Below are 20,611 nucleotides of genomic sequence, written 5' to 3'. Positions count from 1 at the left end.
GGAGTAAGTTTAAAGGGTTGTGAGAATAAGGAGTTTTATTTTGGCTGTGTGGAGCTTGAGATAGATGCCTGCCATGTCCAGAAAGATGTTATCCTTAAATCTTAAGGTAAAATAGATATGTTAAATAAAACTTTTTGCCTATGTTCAGTGGCTTTAGCATAGTGGGTTCTGGATTGCTGCCTGGGCATCTGCAGCACCCACACACGTCCTCCCTGTGTTTCCGGTTTGCCTGATGAGCGTCACCCTGAGCCCACTGGACCAAGGTTCTCAGGGCAGGGACTGGACTCACTTTGTCCATCTTTGTGCTCCAGGCACCTGGCAGAGTTTATATGTACACTTTTTGTAGAGGTGTAATTTCTGTCTGTGTTGATTTCTTGTGTCCTGCTTTTTACTCAGTTGCATGTTTGTATTTCTATCCAATGACATTCTTGAAAATAGTATCAGTAAATAATAGTCAACATCACAAATTACCAAAGTATAAACAGAGATTTTTGTGATAGAGCTAGTATTTGTGATGGGAAATACAGATGTGAAAGTGTAGAGCATAGTGGTTATCAGCAAGTCCAGACCCGAGACTGTATATTCTGGCTTTGCCTCTTACTAACTCTGTGACTTTGGACAATTTTTTTTTTTTTTTTTTCTTTTCTGAGACAGACTCTTGCTCTGTTGCCCAGGCTGGAGTGCGATGGCGCTATCTTGGCTCACTGCAACCTCCGCCTCCCAGGTTTGAGTGATTCTCCTGCCTCAGCCTCCCGAGTAGCTGAGATTACAGGTGCGTGCCACCACGCCCAGCTAATTTTTTTTATCTTTAGTAGAGATGGGGTTTCGCCATGTTGGCTAGGCTGGTCTCAAACTCCTGACCTCATGATCCGCCTGCCTCTCCCTCCCAAAGTGCTGGGATTACAGGCATGAGCCACAGCGTCCAGCCAACTTTGGACAAATTGTTTAACCCCTTTGTGCCTTATTTTCCTATTTGTAAAAATGGGTTTAATAACACTATATTTCATGATACTGTTAGGATTGTCAGGTGCTTAGAGCATTGTCTGTTACTATATGTAATAAGTAGTTAGGGGCTGGGCATGGTGGTTCACGCCTGTAATCTCAGCACTTTGGGAGGCCAAGGCAGGCGGATCACCTGAGGTCAGGAATTCGAGACCAGCCTCGCCAACATAGTGAAACCCCATCTCTACTAAAAATATAAAAATCAGCCAGGTGTGGTGGCGGGCGCCTGTAATCTCAGCTATTTGGGAGGGTGAGGCAGGAGAATTGCTTGAGCCTGGGAGGCGGAAATTGCAGTGAGCTAAGATCGTGCCTCTGCACTCCAGCCTGGGCAACAAAGTGAGACTGTGTCTTAAAAAAAAAAAAAAAAGTCAGTAGGCCAGGCGCCATGGCTTACATCTGCAATCCCAGCACTTCAGGAGGCCAAGGGGGAAGGATTGCTTGAGGCTAGGAGTTTGAGACTAGACAGGGCAACATAGTGAGACCCTGTCTATATTAAAAAAAATTAAAGGCCAGGCACAGTGGCTCACGCCTGTAATCCCGCACTTTGGGAGGCCGAGGCAGGCGGATCACGAGGTCATGAGATCGAGACCATCCTGGCTAACACAGTGAAACCCCGTCTCTACTAAAAAATACAAAAAATTAGCTGGGCATGGTGGCGGGCGCCTGTAATCCCAGCTACTTGGGAGGCTGAGGCAGGAGAATGGCATGAACCCAGGAGGCGGAGCTTGCAGTGAGCCGAGATCGTGCCACTGCACTCCAGCCTGGGCGGCAAAGCGAGACTCCGTCTCAAAAAAAAAATAAATAAATAAAAATAAAAATTAGCAGGACATAGTGGCATGCCTTTGTAGACCCAGCAACTCAGGAGGCTAAGGCACTAGGATCGCTTGAACCCAGAAGTTGAGGCTGCAGTGAGGTATGATCACACCACTGTACTTCAGTCTGGGCAACAGAGCAAGACCTGGTCTCTTTAAAAAAAAAAAAAAAAAAAAGTGCTGGGCGCAGTGGCTCATGCCTGTAATCCCAGCACTTTGGGAGGCAGAGGTGGGAGGATTGCTTGAGCCCAGGAGTTTAACACCAGCTTGGCCATCATGGCAAAACTCCATCTCTACCAAAATAATACAAAAATTAGCTGGACATGGTGGCTGACACCAGTGGTCCCAGCTACTCAGGAGGCCAAGGTAGGAGGATCGCTTGAGCCTGGGAGGTGGAGGTTGCAGTGAGCCGTCTTCATGCCATTGTACTCCAGCCTGGCAGAGTACAGGCTGTACAGAGTACAGACAGATCCTGTCTAAAAGAAAAAAAAGAGCAAATGTTTACTGAGTACTTTAAGTTTTCTCCAGCAACCATGAGGCTTCTTCTTAGCAAACAAGATTCAGTCAGAAAAGGATCACAATTACCCTATTACTCTGAAGCAGAATGCTTGTGCCCTTCATGCTGAGAGTAGCTAGGTGGTTAATTGCAAAATCTATTAAGTTAATATGGACAGAGAGAGAATAGTTTGCTTTTCTTAGAAATCAAAGTTTAGCCAGTGCGGTGGCTCACGCCTGTAATCCCAGCATTTTGGGAGTCCGAGGTGGGTGGCTTACCTGAGGTCAGGAGTTCAAGATCAGCCTGACCAACATGGTGAAACCTCATCTCCACTAAGAATACAAAAAAAATAGCCAGGCATGGTGGTGGGTACCTGTAATCCCAGTTACTCAGGAGGCTGAGGGAGGAGAATCACTTGCACCCGGAGGGCGGAGGTTGTGGTGAGTCGAGATTGCTCCATTGCCCTCCAGCCTGGGCAACAAGAGCGAAACTCGGTCTCAAAAAAAAAAAAAAAAAAAAAAAAAAGACATTAAAATTTACCTTCCCTGTGCAGTGCTTTCTGTTTTCCAGACCTGACTCAGAACCAGAATAAGGTTCACTTCATGCAGTGTCCTGTCAGTCAGCTGAAAAGCCCTTCTTGGGGTCTCTACCTCGATGGCATCTTCCATCTTGTATGAAATGCCTCTCCCCTTCTTGTGCTTTATTCCTCTTTGTAGTACTTACTAGTTTTTGAGACAGAGTCTCACTCTGTCACCGAGGCTAGAGTGCACTGGCATGATCTTGGCTCACTGCAACCTCTGCCTCCTGGTTTCAAGTGATTCTCGTGCCTCAGCCTCCCAAGCAGCTGGGACCACAGGCGTGTGCCACCATGCCCAGCTAGTTTTTTGTATTTTTAGTAAAGACGGGGTTTCGCCATGTTGGTCAGGCTGGTCTTGAACGTCTGGCCTCAAGTGATCCACACGCCTTGGCCTCCCAAAGTGCTGGGATTACAGGTGTGAGCCACCACGCCCAGCCAGTTCCTCTTTGTAGTACTTATATCAGCCTGGTGTTTATTTGTGGAAGCACCATGAAAGCAGAGTTTTGTTTTCTTTTCCCACTGCAGTATCCTTGGCACTTAGGACATTGTTGGTCTCTGGTAGGCATTTAACATGTACTTGCTTACTGAAGGAACTCAGCATGCCTTTAGGATTCATCATTTACATGCTGGGTCAGCCATTGCTTTCGGTGAGCTCACATTGTCGAGAACAATCATGTAACTAAAACATGCCATTCCAAAAGATAAAAGTCAGGATACAAGGTGCAGCAGAGTACGGTGGCAGAGAGGTCTTCTCAACCTCAGGATGTTGGGAAGTTTCACAGAGGAGGCAACATTTGAGTGGGGTTTGGAAGATTGAGGAAGAGGGAGTGAAGGTGATAGGGAAGGACTTTTAGGTAGAAGGATTTTATTTTATTTTTTATTTTTTTGAGATGGAGTCTCGCTCTGTCACCCAGGCTGGAGTGCAGTAGTGCGATCTTGTCTCACTGTAACCTCCGCCTCCCAGGTTCAAGTGATTCTCATGCCTCAGCTTCCCCAGGAGCTGGCATTACAGGTGTGCACAACAACACCCAGCTAATTTTTGTATTTTAGTAGAAACAGCGTTTCACCATGTTGGCCAGGCTGGTCTTAAACTCCTGACCTCAGGTGATCCACTCGCCTCGGCCTCCCAAAGTGCTAGGATTACAGGCATGAGCCACCACGCCTGGCCAGGTAGAAAGATTGACATGCAGAATGTTGAGGTCTGAATCAGCATGGTATGTTGAGGGAAGTTGCCTAGGATATGAGGCCAAAGGAGGTAAGAGGAAGGGGATGAGGCTGGAAAAGTGGTAGAAGCCAGATGTGAGGGAAGTGTATTACCTACATAAGAATTTGAACCTGTTCCTGAGAAAGATATGAAAATATTGAAGGATTATTTTAATGTTAAAATATGAGTTACCATTTTAGCCATTTTTAAGTGTACAGTTCTGTGGCATTAAGTACATTCACATTGTTTAGCAACCATTATCACCATCTACCTCCAGAACGTTTTTATCTGCATCTTCTCAAACTGAAACTACTATTGATGGATCTTTTTTTTTTTTCTTTTTGGAGACATAATCTCGCTCTGTCACCTAGGCTGGAGTGCAGTGGCACGATCTCGGCTCACTGCAGCCGCTGCCTCCCAGGTTCAAGTGATTCTCGTGCCCCATCCTCCCAAGTAGCTGGGATTACAGGCGCCCATCACCACACCCAGCTAATTTTTGTATTTTTAGTAGAGACGAAGTTTCGCCATGTTGGCCAGGCTGGTCTCGAACTCTGACCTCTGGTGATTCTTCCCCCTGCACCCCGCCCCCCCTTGGCCTCCCAAAGTGCTGGGATGCTGGGATTATAGGCATGGGCCACCATGCCCAGCTGATGGATCTTAAGCTGAGATGTAAAGTGCTGCAATTTAAGTTAAAATTGATACCTTTAAGTGTCTGGAGTTGAAGAGAGTAGTCCCTTACAATAGTCAAGGCAGAGAAGGGTCTCTGAGTGATCAAAATAGTTGTCAAGGAACTTGGCGTTGAAACTGAATTCAGTTTGTAGACTTCTTCAATCCTTCACATAACCTTTATTCTTACATGTTACACAGTTCTAATTTACCAGGCTTCTAAGTCATTAGAAGCTGCATCTGAGATTACTAGAGGGGTAGTCGTTGGCAGACAGACTGGCTGGAGAGTGTGGTCTCAGACTGGAAATCATACAGAGGTATAGCTTCAAGCACAACCTGAGGTTGAGGTCTGAAGGTGGGCAGCCTGACCTTAGTCATCCCAACAATTGTCACAATTACAGATGACAGATTACACATAGGGTAGTAGTTAAAGTTCCTCATGATGACTGAGTCATCAAGAAAACAGTAAATAATATCAATGATGTAGACAGCAACTGGATACATTTTAGATGAGCTGTGTGCAATAGAAACATAACTTTTTTTTTTTTTTTAAGAGATAGGGTCTTGCTTTGCTGCCCAGGCTGGAATGCAGTGACAGACTTACTGTAAAGTCCTGGACTTAAACTCCTGGACTCAAACAATCCTCCTGCCTCAGCCTCCTGAGTAGCTGGGACTACAGGTGCACACCACCATCCCTGGCTAATTTTTGGTGTTGTTTTTTTTTGTGATGGATTCTTGCTCTGTCACCCAGGCTGGAGTACAGTGGCATGGTCTCGGCTCACTGCAACCTCCGCCTCCCAGGTTCAAGTGATTCTCCTGCCTCAGCCTCCCAAATAGCTGGGACTACAGCCATGTGTCACCATGCCTGGCTAATTTTTGTACTTTTAGTAGAGACGGGGTTTCACCATGTTGGCCAGGTTGGTCTTGAACTCCTGTCCTCAAGTGATCCACCCACCTTGGCCTCCCAAAGTGCTGGGATTATAGGCGTGAGCCACTGCGCCCGGCCACAATTTAAAATTTTCTAGGAGCCTCTTTAAAAAGGCAAAAGAGGCCGAGCATGGTGGCTCACGCCTATAATCCCAGCACTTTGGGAGGCTGAGGCGGGTGGATCACTTGAGGTCAGGAGTTAGAGACTAGCCTGGCCAACATGGGGAAACCCTCTCGGTACTAAAAATACAAAAATTAGCCGGGTGTGGTGACAGGCGCCCTGTAATGCCAGCTACTGGGGAGGCTGAGATACGAGAATCACTTGAACCTGGGAGGCAGAGATTGCAGTGAGCTGAGATCGCACCACTGCACTCCAGCCTGGGTGACAGAGTGAGACTCTGCCTAAAAAAAAAAAAAAAAGTAAAAGAATGAAGTTGAAATTAATTTTAATATATTTTATTTAACTCATTATATAAAAAATATTACTTGAGGCCGGGCGTAGTGGCTCATGCCTGTAATCCCAGCATTTTGGGAGGTCGAGGTGGGCAGATCATGAGGTCAGGGGATCGAGACCATCCTGACTAATGTGGTGAAACCCCATCTCTACCAAAAATACAAAACATCAGCTGGGCGTGGTGGCACACGCCTGTAGTCCCAGCTACTTGGCAGGCCGAGGCAGAAGAATCACTTGAACTCGGGAGGCGGAGGTTGCAGTGAGCCAAGATCGTGCCGTTGCACTCCAGCCTGGGCGACAGAGTGAGACTTCGTCTCAAAAAAAAAAAAAAAAAATTACTTGAGTATGTAGTTAATATTAAAACATCATTAGTGGGGTAGTTTACATTCTTTTTTTTAATACTAAGTCTCTCAAATTTTAGAACATATTTTACGTATATGACACAACTCATTTGGCTTAACCATACCCTAGGTTCTCAATAGCCATGTGTGCCAGTGGCCATCATATGCACAACACAATTTCAGATTTTGCCTGAGATGGAAGGGTTAAATCCCCAGCCATTCAGAGAATGCTGCCATTCATAAGAATTAATTCCTTAAGGATTATAGATGGCTGGGGTTTTATTATAGTAGTTTTCAGTTATGAATACTTGGTTTGTATGTTTGGAAAACTACTGGGAGGCAGTAAAGAGTACAGATTTTGGAACAGACTATCTGGGTTTGAATCTCAACACTGTCTTTTCCTAGCCCTGTAATCTTGGGTGAGTTACTTAATTTCTCTGCGTCTCAGTTTCCTCATCTATAAAATGGAGGGCATAGTAGTACCTACCTCATTAGGTTTTACGAGTTTTAAATGAGTTGTTACATAAAAAGAACCTAAAAGAGGCTGGGCAAGGTGGCTCACTCCTGTAATCCTAGCACTTTGGGAGGCTGAGGTGGGGAGGTCACCTGAGGTCAGGAGTTTGAGGCCAGCCTGGCCAACTTGGTGAAACCTCATCTGTACTAAAAATATAAAAATTAGCCGGGCATGGTGGTGTGTGCCTGTAATCCCAGCTACTCGGGAGGCTAAGGCAAGAGAATCAGTTGAACTCGGGAGGCAGAGGTTGCAGTGAGCTGAGATTGCACCACAGCGCTCCAGCCTGGGTGACAAGAGTGAGATTTCATTTCAAATAAATAAATAAATAAAATAAAAATAAAAATACAGGCCAGGCGTGGTGGCTCATGCCTGTAATCCCAGCACTTTGGGAGGCCAAGGTGGGTGGATCATGACATCAGGAGATGGAGACCATCCTGGCCAACACGGTGAAACCCTGTCTCTACTAAAAATACAAAAATTAGCTGGGCATGGTGGCGTGCATCTGTAGTCCCAGCTACTTGGGAGGCTGACTCGGGAGAATCGCTTGAACCCGGGAGGTGGAGGTTGCAGTGAGCTGAGATCGTGCCACTGCACTCCAGCCTGGTGACAGAGGGAGACTGCGTTTAAAAAAAAAATAGTAAAATATTTAGCCAGGTGTGGTGGTGCTCACCTGTAGTCCCCAGCTACTTTAGAGGCTGAGGTGGCAGAAATGCCTGAGCCCAGGAGTTTGAGGCTGCATTGAGCTGTGATGGTATCATTGAACTCCAGCCTAGGTGGCATAGTGAGACCCTTGTGTATAGTAACTATACACTATAGATGTGTGTTTTTATCCTCAAAATATTTATTATCTTTAAAATGTCAGGCTGGATATGGGTGGCTCACTCTTGTAATCCCATCATTTTGGGAGGCCAAGGCAGGAGGGTTGCTTGAGGCCAGCAGCAGTCTGAGACCAGCCTGGGCAACAACATAGAAAGACCTTGTCTGTATTAAAAAAAAATTTTTTTTAAAAACATTAAATTATTTTGATTCACTATAGTTCAAAGACATTCTTGCTTTAGAGATTGCTTAATTTCACATAGGCATTTAGCAAGTTTTCACAGGTGAAGAAAAAAATGTTGAAGTGTCATTTTGTGAGGATGCTTTCTAATTGATGTCTTTAGGTAACTAGTTTCCTTGTTCGCTGCAACATTAACAAGCACAGCAGTAGTGTGATTAAATAAAGGATTTAGATTTATAATTAAAATTAGAAAAATTTTGAGAGGATGGTTTTTATCAGCATTTAATTAATACTGTTACAATTAAGCCACTCTTTCTCTCTGAAACACTTTAGAATCCTACTATGTCTGGGGAGACTTCATGGTTTTATCTTTTTTTGCAGTCAGTATATTTAACACACTGGATTATTTTGAGAGTCTCCACTTCTTTGTTAATAGAGTAGAAAAGAGTAGCAAAAGTAAAATAAAAATATAAAAAGATTACTATTTAGTACTTGGAAGACAGGTAAGAGGAGGACCTTTATCACCTTATAGAATGAAGACGCATGGCTGGAAACAACCAAATCTTCGTATGGTTCTTTGAATGTCAAGTTTTTGGCACAGAAGAAAGCAGCTCCTAATGGGGGATTCTTCAGTCCTGCTTTCATCTGCCGTTGATTAGCAGTCCGGCCCTGCTGTTTCCAGTCTGTCCTGTCTTCTTGGGACATAATCTGCCCACCCTCTCATTCCATCTGTGGCTTACTCCTTTCTGTCTTAACCTTCCGTGGCGTCCTTTGGGAAGTCTTTCCTGTTGGAGCAGGCAGCCCTTCTGTGGGATCTCGTGGCATTCTGCAGTTCTGTACCATAGTTTTCTGCTGTCCTTTCTCTGTGTCTGCTCCAAGTTTAGTGAGGGCAGAAGTTAGCTCAGAGCCTGGCCCAGGGCCAAGCTGGGCTGAGTAAAATTTTCCTAAATGAATGAATGAGTGATCCTGTAAATGTAACCAATTTATGTTACATAAAAGGTAACACTGCCTTACACTATGGGTTTTGGCTTCTTGCACTTTTTTTTTTTTTTTTTTGGAGACAGAGTTTCGCTCTTGTTGCCCAGGCTGGAGAGCAGTGGTGTGATCTCGGCTCACTGCAGTCTCTGCCTCCCAGGTTCAAGTGATTCTCCTGCCTCTGCCTCTCAAGTAGCTCGGATTACAGGTGCCCGCCACCATGTCTGGCTAATTTTTTTGTATTTTTAGTAGAGTTGGGGTTTCACCATTTTGGCCAGGCTGGTCTCGAACTCCTGACCTTGGGTGATCCACCCACCTCGGCCTCCTACAGTGCTGGGATTACAGGCATGAACCACTGCACCCGGCCGTGCTTTTTATACTGCCATGTCTTGCCATAAAACAAAAACATTAGAGCCCAATTTTAGTCTCTTTGTGTGGTTGGTTATTTGCCTCTGGAATTGAACAAACTCTTAAAAATCACTCTTAATAGAGAATACCTTATGGTCCAATTGGTTTCTTGTCCTTTTTGAGAGTTGCTGGTAGTTAGATACTAAGGCTTCTGTGGGATAACTAGGAGAGGAAAATGCTGTTTTTATAATAGCAATAGTAGCTGCTTATACTTTTGGTAATAAAGTCACAGTAGCTAAGTTCCATGATTAAATGTAATGGAAAAATGAACCTCAGTGTTTTGTTAGCTTTTTTTGTTAGGTGACAACCAATTGTTATCGAAGTCTCTTAAGCTGAAGCTTTATGGTTAATGATATAGTATATCATATCTATATTTATATATCTATAGTATTATATATACTTTATAATACTATATATCTATAGTATTATATATACCATATATCATACACCAGATATCACACTATAGATCTATAGTGTGATATATACTATATCATACTATAACTTTCTAGCAGTTTGTGATGTATTGGCTAATATTCAGAGGAGAAGTCTGGTGCTAGGAATTACTGAAACCAAAATTTTACACTACCATGAGATAAGAAATGGGTTTCTCAATGTTTTTGGAGGCTGTACTACACATCTAGATTTTTGCAAAATCTCATTGCTTTCACATTCCACTCTCCACCCCAAAAAGTATCTAGTACAGTCTTTTTTTTGGAGTCTCGCTCTGTCGCTTGGGTTGGAGTGCAGTGGCGCGATCTCTGCTCACTGCAAGCTCCACCTGCCGGGTTCACACCATTCTCCTGCCTCAGCCTCCTGAGTAGCTGGGACTACAGGTGCGTGCCACCACACCTGCCACCACACCTGGCTAATTTTTTGTATTTTTAATAGAGATGGGGTTTCACCGTGTTAACCAGGATGGTCTCGATCTCCTGACCTCATGATCCACCCGCCTCGGCCTCCCAAAGTGCTGGGATTACTGGCGTGTGCCACCGTGCCCAGCCTTAATCTACTTTTTTTTGCCTTTTTTTTTTTGAGATGGAGTTTCGCTCTGTCACCCAGGCTGGAGTGCAGTGGCATGATCTCCGCTCACTGCAAGCTCTGCCTCCCGGGTTCATGCCATTCTCTTGCCTCAGCCTCCCCAGTAGCTGGGACTACAGGCGCCTGCCACCACGCCCAGCTAATTTTTTTTTTGTATTTTTAGTAGAGACAGGGTTTCACCTTGTTAGCCAGGATGGTCTCTATCTCCTGACCTTGTGATCTGCCCGCCTTGGCCTCCCAAAGTGCTGGGATTACAGGCATGAGCCACTGCACCTGGCTTTTTTTTTTTTTTTTTGGTAGAGACAGGGTCTAGCTGTGTTGCCCAGGCTGGTCTCAACCTCCTGTCTTCCCCACTGTGCATGGCCTATACCTACCATAATCTAAACTTAACTGCTTTGTACTTTTGTTTTGAAATTTTCAATGTATTTCTTGTGATTTGAAGCTTTATTAGTTTGTCATAAAACCATAATTTATGAACTCTCTTACTATAAAGCGAGGAGAAATCCAGACTAATAACTGCTAAGATCCTTTGTAATGCTGACTTCTCATGGTAATACCTGAGTAGACCTCTTTATGTGAAAGCCCTGTTAGGGAAGCTCCTGGTGAAGCAGGTGGGTTTCAAGTTTGAATTGTGTATGCATCCTGAGATCCAGAAAGGTCAAGTGGCCTGGGCTGAGCGGGAAGTAGTTATATCCTGGGTGTTAAATCTATAAAGGCTTACTTTGAAGATATTGCGAGTTTGGTTCCAGACTACTTTAATAAAGCAAATAATCGCAATAAAGTGAGTCACACAAATTTTTTGGTTTCTCAGTGCATATAGGTTATGTTTGGCCGAGTGTGGTGGCTCGCAGCTGTAATCCCAACACTTTGGGAGGCCAAGGCAGGTGGATCACCTGAGGTCAGGAGTTTGAGACAAGCCTGACCAACATGGTGAAACCTGTCTCTACTAAAAATACAAAAATTAAAAATAATAGTAAAAATAAAAATACAAAAATTAACCAGGCCTGGTGGTGGGCACCTGTAATTTCAGCTACTCTGGAGGCTGAGGCATGAGAATCACTTGAACCCGGGAGGTGGAGGTTGTAGTGAGCCAAGATTGCGCCACTGTACTCCAGCCTTGGCGATAGAGCGAGACTCTCTCTCAAAAAAAAAAAAAAAAGAAAAGAAAAAATCACTGTCTACAGTGTTGTTTAGTGTAGTCACCTTCGTCAGTGATTGTAGCTGGATCTTCTGGATAACTTGCTGCAGCTTTTCTGTCATTACTTGTTGTTTCACCTTGCACTTTTATGATACAGAGATGACTTCTTTCCTTGAAGCTCATGAACCAACCTCTGCTAGCTTCCAACTTTCTTTTGCAGCTTCCTCACCTTTCTCAGCCTTCATAGAATTGAAGAGAGGCCCTTGCTCTGGATTAGGCTTTGGCATAAGGGAATGTTATAGCTCATTTTATTGATCCAGACTACTAAAACTTTCTCCATATCAATACTAAGGCTGTTTCAGGCTTTTATCATTTGTGTGTTCACTGGGTAGCACTTTTAATTTATTTTAGGAAGTTTTCCTTTGCATTCACAACTTGGCAAGAGACATAGCTTTCAGCCTATCTCAGCTTTTGACATTCCTTCCTCTTAAGGTTAATCATTTCTAGCTTTTGATTTAAAGTGACAGACATGGTCACTTTCCTTTCACTTGAGCACTTAGAGGCCACTGTAGGGTTATTAATTGGCCTGATTTCAATAATGTGTCTCAGGGAATAGGGAGGCTCGAGAAAGGGAGAGAAATGGGGGAATGGCCAGTTGGTGGAGCAGTCAGAACACACACAACACTTACCAGTTAAGTTTGCTGTTCTACGTGGGTGCTATTTGTGGTGCCCCAAAGCAATTACAATAGTAACGTTAAAGACCACTGATCACAGATCACCATAGGAAATATAATAATAATGAAAAAGTTTGAAATATTGAGAGAATTGTGACACATGGGTGAGCACATGCTGTTGGAAAATGGCACCAGTAGACGTGCTTGACACAGGGTTGCCACAGCCCGTCAATTTGTTAAAAAAAATGCAATATCTGCAGAACTCAATAAAGCAAAGCACAATAAAACAAGATATGCCTGTACTTTCAACAAATATATTTGTGCTCTGACTAAATGCCAGGGCATTGTGAAAGATGTGATGGCCCAGTAGGGAAGATAAATGTAGTACAAAGAAAGTGACATACAACAAATATTTATTACCCTTTTATTATATACCCACATGATCATAGGCACTGTGGACTTAAAGACACTCATTTGCTGTCTCCTTTTTTTTTTTTTTGAGGCGGAGTCTCGCTCTGTCGCCCATGCTGGAGTGCAGTGGCGTGATCTCAGCTCACTGCAACCTCTACCTCCCAGTTCAACCGATTCTCGTGCCTCAGCCTCCAGAGTAGCTGGGACTACAGGTGTGCGCCACCACGTCCAGCTAATTTTTGTACTTTTTTAGTAGAGATGGGATTTCACCATATTGGCCAGGCTAGTCTCGAACTCCTGACCTCGTGATCCGCCCACCTCAGCCTCCCAAAGTGCTGGGATTACAGGTGTGAGCCACAGCACCCTGCCTAATAATGCCTGTCTCTAAATAAATTATGATGTGATCATATAGAGAAATAGCCTTAAAAAAGAGAATGAGGGCTGGATGCTGTGGCTCACACCTGTAATCCCAGCACTTTGGGAGGCCGAGGCGGGCAGATCACAAGGTCAGGAGATTGAGACCATCCTGGCTAACACGGTGAAATCCCGTCTCTACTAAAAATACAGAAATTAGCTGGGCGTGGTTGCACGCACCTGTAGTCCCAGCTACTCGGGAGGCTGAGGCAGGAGAATTGCTTGAACCTGGGAGGTGGAGGTCGCAATGAGCCGAGATCGCGCCACTGCACTCCAGTCTGGCGACAGAGCAAGACTGCATCTCAAAAAAAAAAAAAAAAAAAAAAAAAGGATGAGGTAGAATGTTTTTCAGCTGACAAAACATATTGTTAGCTGGAAAACTAACATTCTACTTCATGTGGCCTCATTGTGAAAAAGGAAGGAAAGTGTTTTGTGGTGTAGAAAGGGTTTGAAAGGATATGTATGTACCTGCTGTTTAAAGTGTGGGTCATTAGGGGGCTATTTTTTATTTCCTCTATTGGTTGACTTTTTTTTTTAAAGTGTATGTATATTAATTTGTAAAAATAAGAAAGATACTTTAAAAAACAGGATTTCTGGCAGGCTTGAAAGTTGTTATACATGGAAAGTGATCAGCACAAAGTCCAGCATATAGTAAATGTCAATAAGTGGGTGCTATTACTGTTATTGTTGGAGGTGGCAGTCAAGGAGGAGGAAGACTGCTAGACTGAATAATTTTGATGGTTGAAATTTGGTTCTGGGGTTTAGAATTTCCAAGGTCATTTGATTCCCCAGGTATAAGATCTTGGTGACAAGGTAGGGTCCAGAGCCCATGAGTTTTGGCTGGCCTTGTGTGAAGGAAGCAAAATGTAGACCAAAGCTAGGTCCAGTGTGCAAGTCGTATGTGAACACTGTTCTCCCTTCTCCATCCCTCCCCTTCTCCTTTGAGAATAACACTGTCCAGCTCACCTTGATGGAGGGAGAGCAGTGGCCTGCCAAATTGTCCCTGTTGTTTTTTTTTTTTCTTTTTTTTGAGACAGAGTCTCACTGTGTCACCCAGGCTGAAGTGCAGTGGCGCGATCTCAGCTCACTGCAACCTCCGCCTCCTGGGTTCAAGCGATTCTCCTGCCTCAGCCTCCCAAGTAGCTGGGACCTACAGGCACCCGCCACCACGCCCAGCTAATTTTTTGTATTTTTAGTAGAGACAGGGTTTCACCGTGTTACCCAGGATGGTCTCGATCTCCTGACCTCATGATCTGCCTGCCTCAGCCTCCCAAAGTGCTGGGATTACAGCTGTGAGCCACTGTGCCCGGCCAAATTGTCCCTGTTCTAAGAGACTTAGGGATCCTTATGGGCAATGTGATATAGTAGGCTTTTGGGGTCATCCCTGGGTTTAGATTCTGATCCCCAGCAAGGTGTCAAGCATCTCTTGAGTCTGCTTCTCCATCTGTAACGTGGGGATGATATGACCTACCTCATTCATTTGCATGTCATAAATGGTTCTTTTCCTTGTTCCTGTTCAATGCAGGAAGGATTAGGAAATACTTTTTTTTTTTCTCGAGATGGAGTCTTGCTCTGTCTCTCAGACTGGAGTGCAATGGTGCAATCTCAGCTCACTGCAACCTCTGCCTCCCAGGTTCAAGTGATTCTTTTGCCTCAGCCTCCCCAGTAGCTGGGATTACAGGCGTGCGCCACCACACCTGGTTAATTTTTTGTATTTTTAGTAGAAATGGGGTTTCACCATGTTGGCCAGGCTGGTCTTGAACTCCTGACCTTGTGATCCACCTGCCTTGGACTCCCAAAGTGCTGGGATTACAGGCGTGAGCCACCGGTGAAATAGGTAGTTAGGGTGAATTTTTATGAACAAAGAAATGTATTCTGTGGGGTTTTGGTGTTTTCTCTTTAGACTTGATTTTATAAAAGTTTGTGGTTTTGGCTGGGTGCAGTGGCTCACGCTTCTTCTAATCCCAGCACTTTGGGAGGCCAAGAAGGGCAGATCACCTGAGTTCAGGAGTTGGACACCAGCCTGGTCAACACGGCGAAACCCCGTGTCTACTAAAAATACAAAAATTAGCCTAGCGTGGTGGTGGGTGCCTGTAGTCCCAGCTACTTGGGAGGCTGAGGTAGGAGAATTGCTTGAATCCAGGAGGCGGAGGTTGCAGTGAGCTGAGACTGTGCCACTGCACCCCAGCCTGGGCGACAAGAGCAAAACTCCGTCTCCAAAAAAAAAAAAGTGGCTTTTTGATCCTCATCTCTTGGGATTGTCTTGTGGATGAAACAATGTAGTTTTTCATAGGCATGATTTGTATTGGGTTTCCATATATCCAGATGTGCATGGGAAGGTCTTGGTTTTACCTGTTGTCCTAGCACTCTGTCCTGTTAGCTTATTTTTTTCACTCAAAAGCAGCATATTTAGTTCTTAATTTTATGATAGCTCAATTATATCTCAACTAAATGCCTTGGACTTATTTATTTTTAACAAATATTGTCACTTAGCTTACATTTTCCAGGGTCTTGTTGGTATTTATGGAGCCCTCTTATGTTTTCAAATCATATTATAGATCTATTTTGTGGTCAGCTCCTCTTTATTTATTTATTTATTTTATTTATTTATTTTTTTGAGGTGGAATTTTGCTCTTGTTGCCCAGGCTGGAGTGCAATGGCGCAATCTCAGCTTACCGCAACCTCTGCCTCCCGGGTTCAAGCAATTCTCCTGCCTTAGCCTCCCGAGTATCTGGGATTACAGGCAGGCATCACCACGCCCGGCTAATTTTGTATTTTTAGTAGAGATGGGGTTACTCCATGTTGGTTAGGCTGGTCTCGAACTCCCAACCTCAGGTGATCCGCCCACCTCAGCCTCCCAAAGTGCTGGGATTATAGGCGTGAGCCACTGTGCCCAGTGCTCCTCTGTATTTATAATTCACACTTGATATGTTCCTGTGTCAATTTTGGGTCTCTTTTGTGACTTAATTTCAGTTCATTTCTATGATTTTAAAAGTTGCGGGGAGGCTTCCCGACTTTTTCAGTGCCCATTATTATCAGGTACTGAAATTAAAAAGAGGAAGAGGAAATTAGATTTGAGAGAATATGGTATGTCGTGCTGTTGCTAGACATTTTACAGACCTCCTTTAATATTCAGTGAACAAGGTAACTGAATACTGACAAGGATGTGTCATGCAGGGATGAGAATCAGCCTGGATTTTAGTCTTCATTTTGTTACCAAGATGATTTATTAACCTTGACAAATTATTTCCTTTTCTGGGCTTCTACTTCCTCATCTACAAAATGGGGAAAGAGTGTTGGATAGATTAGGTTCTAATCTGGCTCTAAGATTTTATGACTGATCTTTTTGATAGCTTGAAATCTCAACATAACCCTTTTAATTGAATGCTTTCAAAAGGACTAAGTAGCAATCACTTTCTTGCTTACTAACTCAAATTACAAGAAAAACAAAAAGTTATCCCTTTTTTCCCCGCAAACAACTTTAGTGACTATAGAAAAAAATTGAGGCACCTATGTAGTGTTGTTTTAAGTTTGCAGCTTCTAATGTAAGCTTTTCTTCTGAAAGGACTAGGGCTGGGTGCAGTGGCTCACACTTGTAATACCAGCACCTTGGGAAGCTGAGGTGGGAGGATCACTTGGGACTAGGAGTTGGAGACCAGCCTGGGCATCATAGAGCGGCCACCCTGTCTCTACAAAAAAAAAAAAAAAAAAAAAAATCCTGGGCATGGTGGTATGTGTGCCAGTCCCAGCTACTTGTGAGGCTGAGGTGGGAGGATAGTTTGAGCCTAGGAAGTTGAGGGTGCAGTGAACCATAATTGCACCACTGCACTCCAGCCTGGGTAACAGAGTGAGACCCTGTCTATTAAAAAAAAAAAAAGGACTAATGTGAATGTTTATTGAATGTTTTATTTTTGTGTCAAAAATACGGGTCCTTGTGAGAACATCCTGAGTGCTAAGCCAATAACAACACTATTTTTGAGAAGAGAGAGAAAATGATTTTGCAGCAGTGTAGAAAGATGATAAAACAAAAGGAAAGGTGATCTGCGAATTTGGCCCCATTTTCTCTCCTCTTCTGTGGCCAGAGCTTTCAACTTCGTGGAGCTGGGGCTTTCCTGTGTTTGCTGAACAGAGGAGCTGAGGCTCTGGACCTGGTGGGGTGGTGAGAAGGGAGGGGCGTTGTCCGTAATAGGATGATTCCTGCTTCTCACGCGTCCCTCCCTAGGGAAGTTGCTGGGACTGAAGCCTGATTGTTGCTGGCCTTTTTCCCCTGCCCCTCCCCCTTGTTTTTGTTTTAAGCTCTCTGTACCCGTTGGCAGGTAGAGGACTACTCAAGGCCTTGGAAGCAGTGTGCTTTAATGGAATAAGTGCAGGCTTAGGAGCCAGTCAGACTGGTGTTCATATCTGAACTCTACTACAAGTAACTGTGGGTCTGGGATAAGTACTGAGCCTTTTTTACAACTCAGGTTTCTCTTTGTAAAATGATAATAATTGTAGCGGTTAAGTTCCTTTTGGTTTCAAGTGGCAGAAACCAACTGTTGTTTTGTAACCTCTCAAAAGGGGGTTTATTGGAAGGACTCTGGAGGGATAGCCTAACAACCAGATCTTCAGATGGGGCAGAAACAGGGGAGCTCTGGGGACCTTGGCAGCAGGTGTGGTAGGCTTTCTCTCTAGGGCATGACCTCTTTCTCACAGTCCACATCCACTCCATCAGCAAATCTTGTCAGAGCTAACTTTACAGTGTACCCAGGTTCTATTTTGCATTACCTCTAGGGTTCTCATTCTCTCCTGGATTTTTATATTAGCCTCCTGAGACTCCTTCCTGTTTCATTTCTTTTTGTTGTTGTTTTTTTTTGTTTGTTTGTTTTTTTTAATAGACAGATTTCTCATTCTCTTGCCCAGGCTGGAGTACAGTAGCAGGATCATAGTTCACTGCAGCCTCAGACTCCTGGGCTCAAGGGATCCTACCACCTCAGCCTCCCAAGTAGCTGGGACTACAGGCCTGCACCACCATGTCTAGGTCTTCCTAATTCTGTGCTTGTTCCCCGCCTCAGTCTGTTCTCAACAAAGCAGCCACAGTGAACCTGTAAACCTTTATGGCAAAATATGCCACTTCTTACTTAAAACCCTCCAAGGGCTGCTAATATCCTTCTGAGAAAAAGCCTAATTAGTAGCTTATCTCTCATTTCCTACTCCTCTCCCTTTGATTTCCCTGCTTCAGTCAAGCTGGACTCCTTATTGATTCTCAGTCTCTTCAGGCATTCATTCTGCCTCAGGGCCTTTGCACTTGTTCCCTTCGCCTGAATGGTCTTCCTTCAAGCTGTCATTATGGCTCATCCTTTCTCCTCCTTCAGTGAGGCTTTTGTTCCCCTTCCAACTTAGAATTATCCTTCAGCAGTAAGGCTTTTTCTAACCACTTATTGAAAACTAAAATTGCCCCATTCCCAGTCTTCTTTGTCTGCTTAATTTTTTTCCATACTATATAGTACCACCTAGTATACTATATTTTTTGCCTATTTATTTAGTCTCTTTTTCCCAACTATATAGTAAGAATTCCATAAGGGCAGAACCCTGTCCATTTTGTCAGTGCCAAATCTCCAGTGCCTGGCAGGTAGTAGGTGCTCAATAAATATTTGTATAATGAAGAACATTTTTCATCAAGTGTTTTTCTTAGTTGAGTCAGCATGGCAAGAGGGATGGGCCATGTAAAATAAGCGTGACCCCTGGGAACTTGCCCAAATGTGAAGCCCAGAGAAGAGGAGAAAGAATTGTCATCTGAAGGCCATCCCAGTTGATGTCTCTGAGGTTGCCATGAGGACGAAATCAACTGGTGTATGATTTGTCTAGTAGCTGCCAAGAAAATATTCGTTCTTCTCCCTGTGTGAAAACAGGTACCTGACAATATTAACATTGAGAAATTCAGTCATTCTCCATAATATAGGTTGTTGTTTGCAAGAGTAGAAATTATGGTCATAGAAATATGAAAACTCATATGCAGCCTAATGTTTTAATCAGTAGTGTCTTCAAAAGGGATGGTATTGAAATTCTACAAATTGTAGATGGGTTTTATAAGGGCTCTTCTGGTATCTGAGCAGACCCAAATCTCAGGACCCAAACCACATTCATAAAAGAGTGGGAACTCATAGAGTGGGAAGGAAGGCGTTAAAGTTTTCATTTTTAATTTCCTTTCTGTAGTAGGAAATGTTTTGCATGGTGGCAGGCTAGCCTGTGAGTACATTAATCTTTGGATTTTACGATGAATATCTACTAATTCATCCTTTTATGTCACACTTACAATGTTTTGTTTTTCAAAGGTATGTGTATATTACATGTATGAAGTGAGTTCTTTCATTATAAAAAAAAAGTTTGATTTACCCATCTGATAATTTTTGGGTAAAGATTATTTCCTGTAGTTTCATCAAGATGAAGAACTTGAATAGTTGGGTTTTTTTTTTTAATGTTCATAAACTTTAGCACTGTTTTGTTCCTGAACTATCTGAGTAGAAACTTAAGCTTTGGAGTCAGACACACTTGGGTTAGATTGTCATGTCTGAAGCATCTCAGTCACATGGCCTTGGACACGCCAGTCTGTCTGCAGTGACAGGATCATCATCCTAGCACCTAGCATAGGCCTGTTGAGAGTTAAAAAAAAGGAGAGGGGCTTATCCTCAAACATAGCAAGCAAAAATAATTAGCTATTTTTATTATTAATAAATGGTAAAAGTCCTTTAATGTTGTGTCTTATTATAAATTTCATTCTGATTTTATCTAAAATGTCAATACTAACAAAATTAAAAAAAAATTTAGCTCTGTATGTACCCTACTTTGAACAAGCAAATAGTTTTCAGAAGCATAAAACATGAACAAGGCATTTATTGTGAAAACATATTTTTAAACCTTTAGGTTTCACTTTTTAAAGTTGATAACCAAGCTTAGACAAGTCTTTTTTTTTTAATATAACAAGTTTTATATGGAGATTAGTAAATTTATGTGTAGTCTTCATTTTGATAGTGATTTCTAGATCTTGGTTACAGTTGTTATTGAACAATGCTATCAGTGAATTTTTTCTTCACTGGAGCTCACCTAATTAGGTGAAACTTTATCCACCATGTCACTGTGCAGTAACAACGGTGGTCTGTCTTGTTTCATTAGGACATCTTATCATGGCTCATGTCATTAGTGCCCGAATTTAGATTCCACAAGGCCTGAGGGACATCTAAGTATTTTCCCTTTGTAAATGACATAGATAATCTCCAGGCACTTGCAATTTTGTTTTCCACACTTCGCTTTTGCTTAATTTTCTGAAGATGAGAAATATTTTAAGAACAGTAACTCTGAGCATTATAAGCAAATTCAAGGCAGCATCATGGTTTTCAAGAGCTGGCTCAGATCTGAAAGAGGAAATGGATAGAGTCATTTGTAAAAAGATGGGGTGCTATTAGATTTACTTTTCCTTTGTAAATTGTATTCATCAGATGAATAGTATTTACTAAGCTATATTGATATACATCATTATATAAAAGTGTTCTTCAGGAACATTATTTTTCTAATTATCTTTGTTGTTTT

At 43.2% G+C, this 20,611-nt stretch overlaps 1 protein-coding gene across 12 annotated transcripts in view, besides 1 other annotated feature; it reads left to right on the top strand.

Annotated features, from left to right (window-relative positions):
- PPP1R13B (protein phosphatase 1 regulatory subunit 13B) overlaps window positions 1-20,611 on the top strand; it is a 115,620-nt gene that overhangs the window by 11,398 nt on the left and 83,611 nt on the right. The window contains exon 1 of one of the 12 annotated variants that reach the window (XM_047431170.1): window positions 18,915-18,936. The exons of the other annotated variants lie outside the window; for them this stretch is intronic. The gene's annotated coding sequence lies outside the window, so the exon portion shown is untranslated. Of the gene's footprint in view, window positions 1-18,914; window positions 18,937-20,611 lie in introns of those variants that run through there. 12 annotated transcript variants of the gene reach the window in all.
- Window positions 17,146-17,245: an enhancer, noted in NCBI's record as "active region_9112". NCBI's record gives its function as "activates an Ori minimal core promoter by ATAC-STARR-seq in GM12878 lymphoblastoid cells {active_cell/tissue: GM12878}" and the evidence as "EXISTENCE:reporter gene assay evidence [ECO:0000049][PMID:35858748]".

The sequence above is a fragment of the Homo sapiens genome, chromosome 14, assembly GCF_000001405.40.
Source record: "Homo sapiens chromosome 14, GRCh38.p14 Primary Assembly".
Classification (NCBI taxonomy): Eukaryota; Metazoa; Chordata; class Mammalia; order Primates; family Hominidae; genus Homo; species Homo sapiens.
Note: the sequence above shows the minus strand (reverse complement) of the source record. Positions and strands in the feature narration are given on the sequence as shown.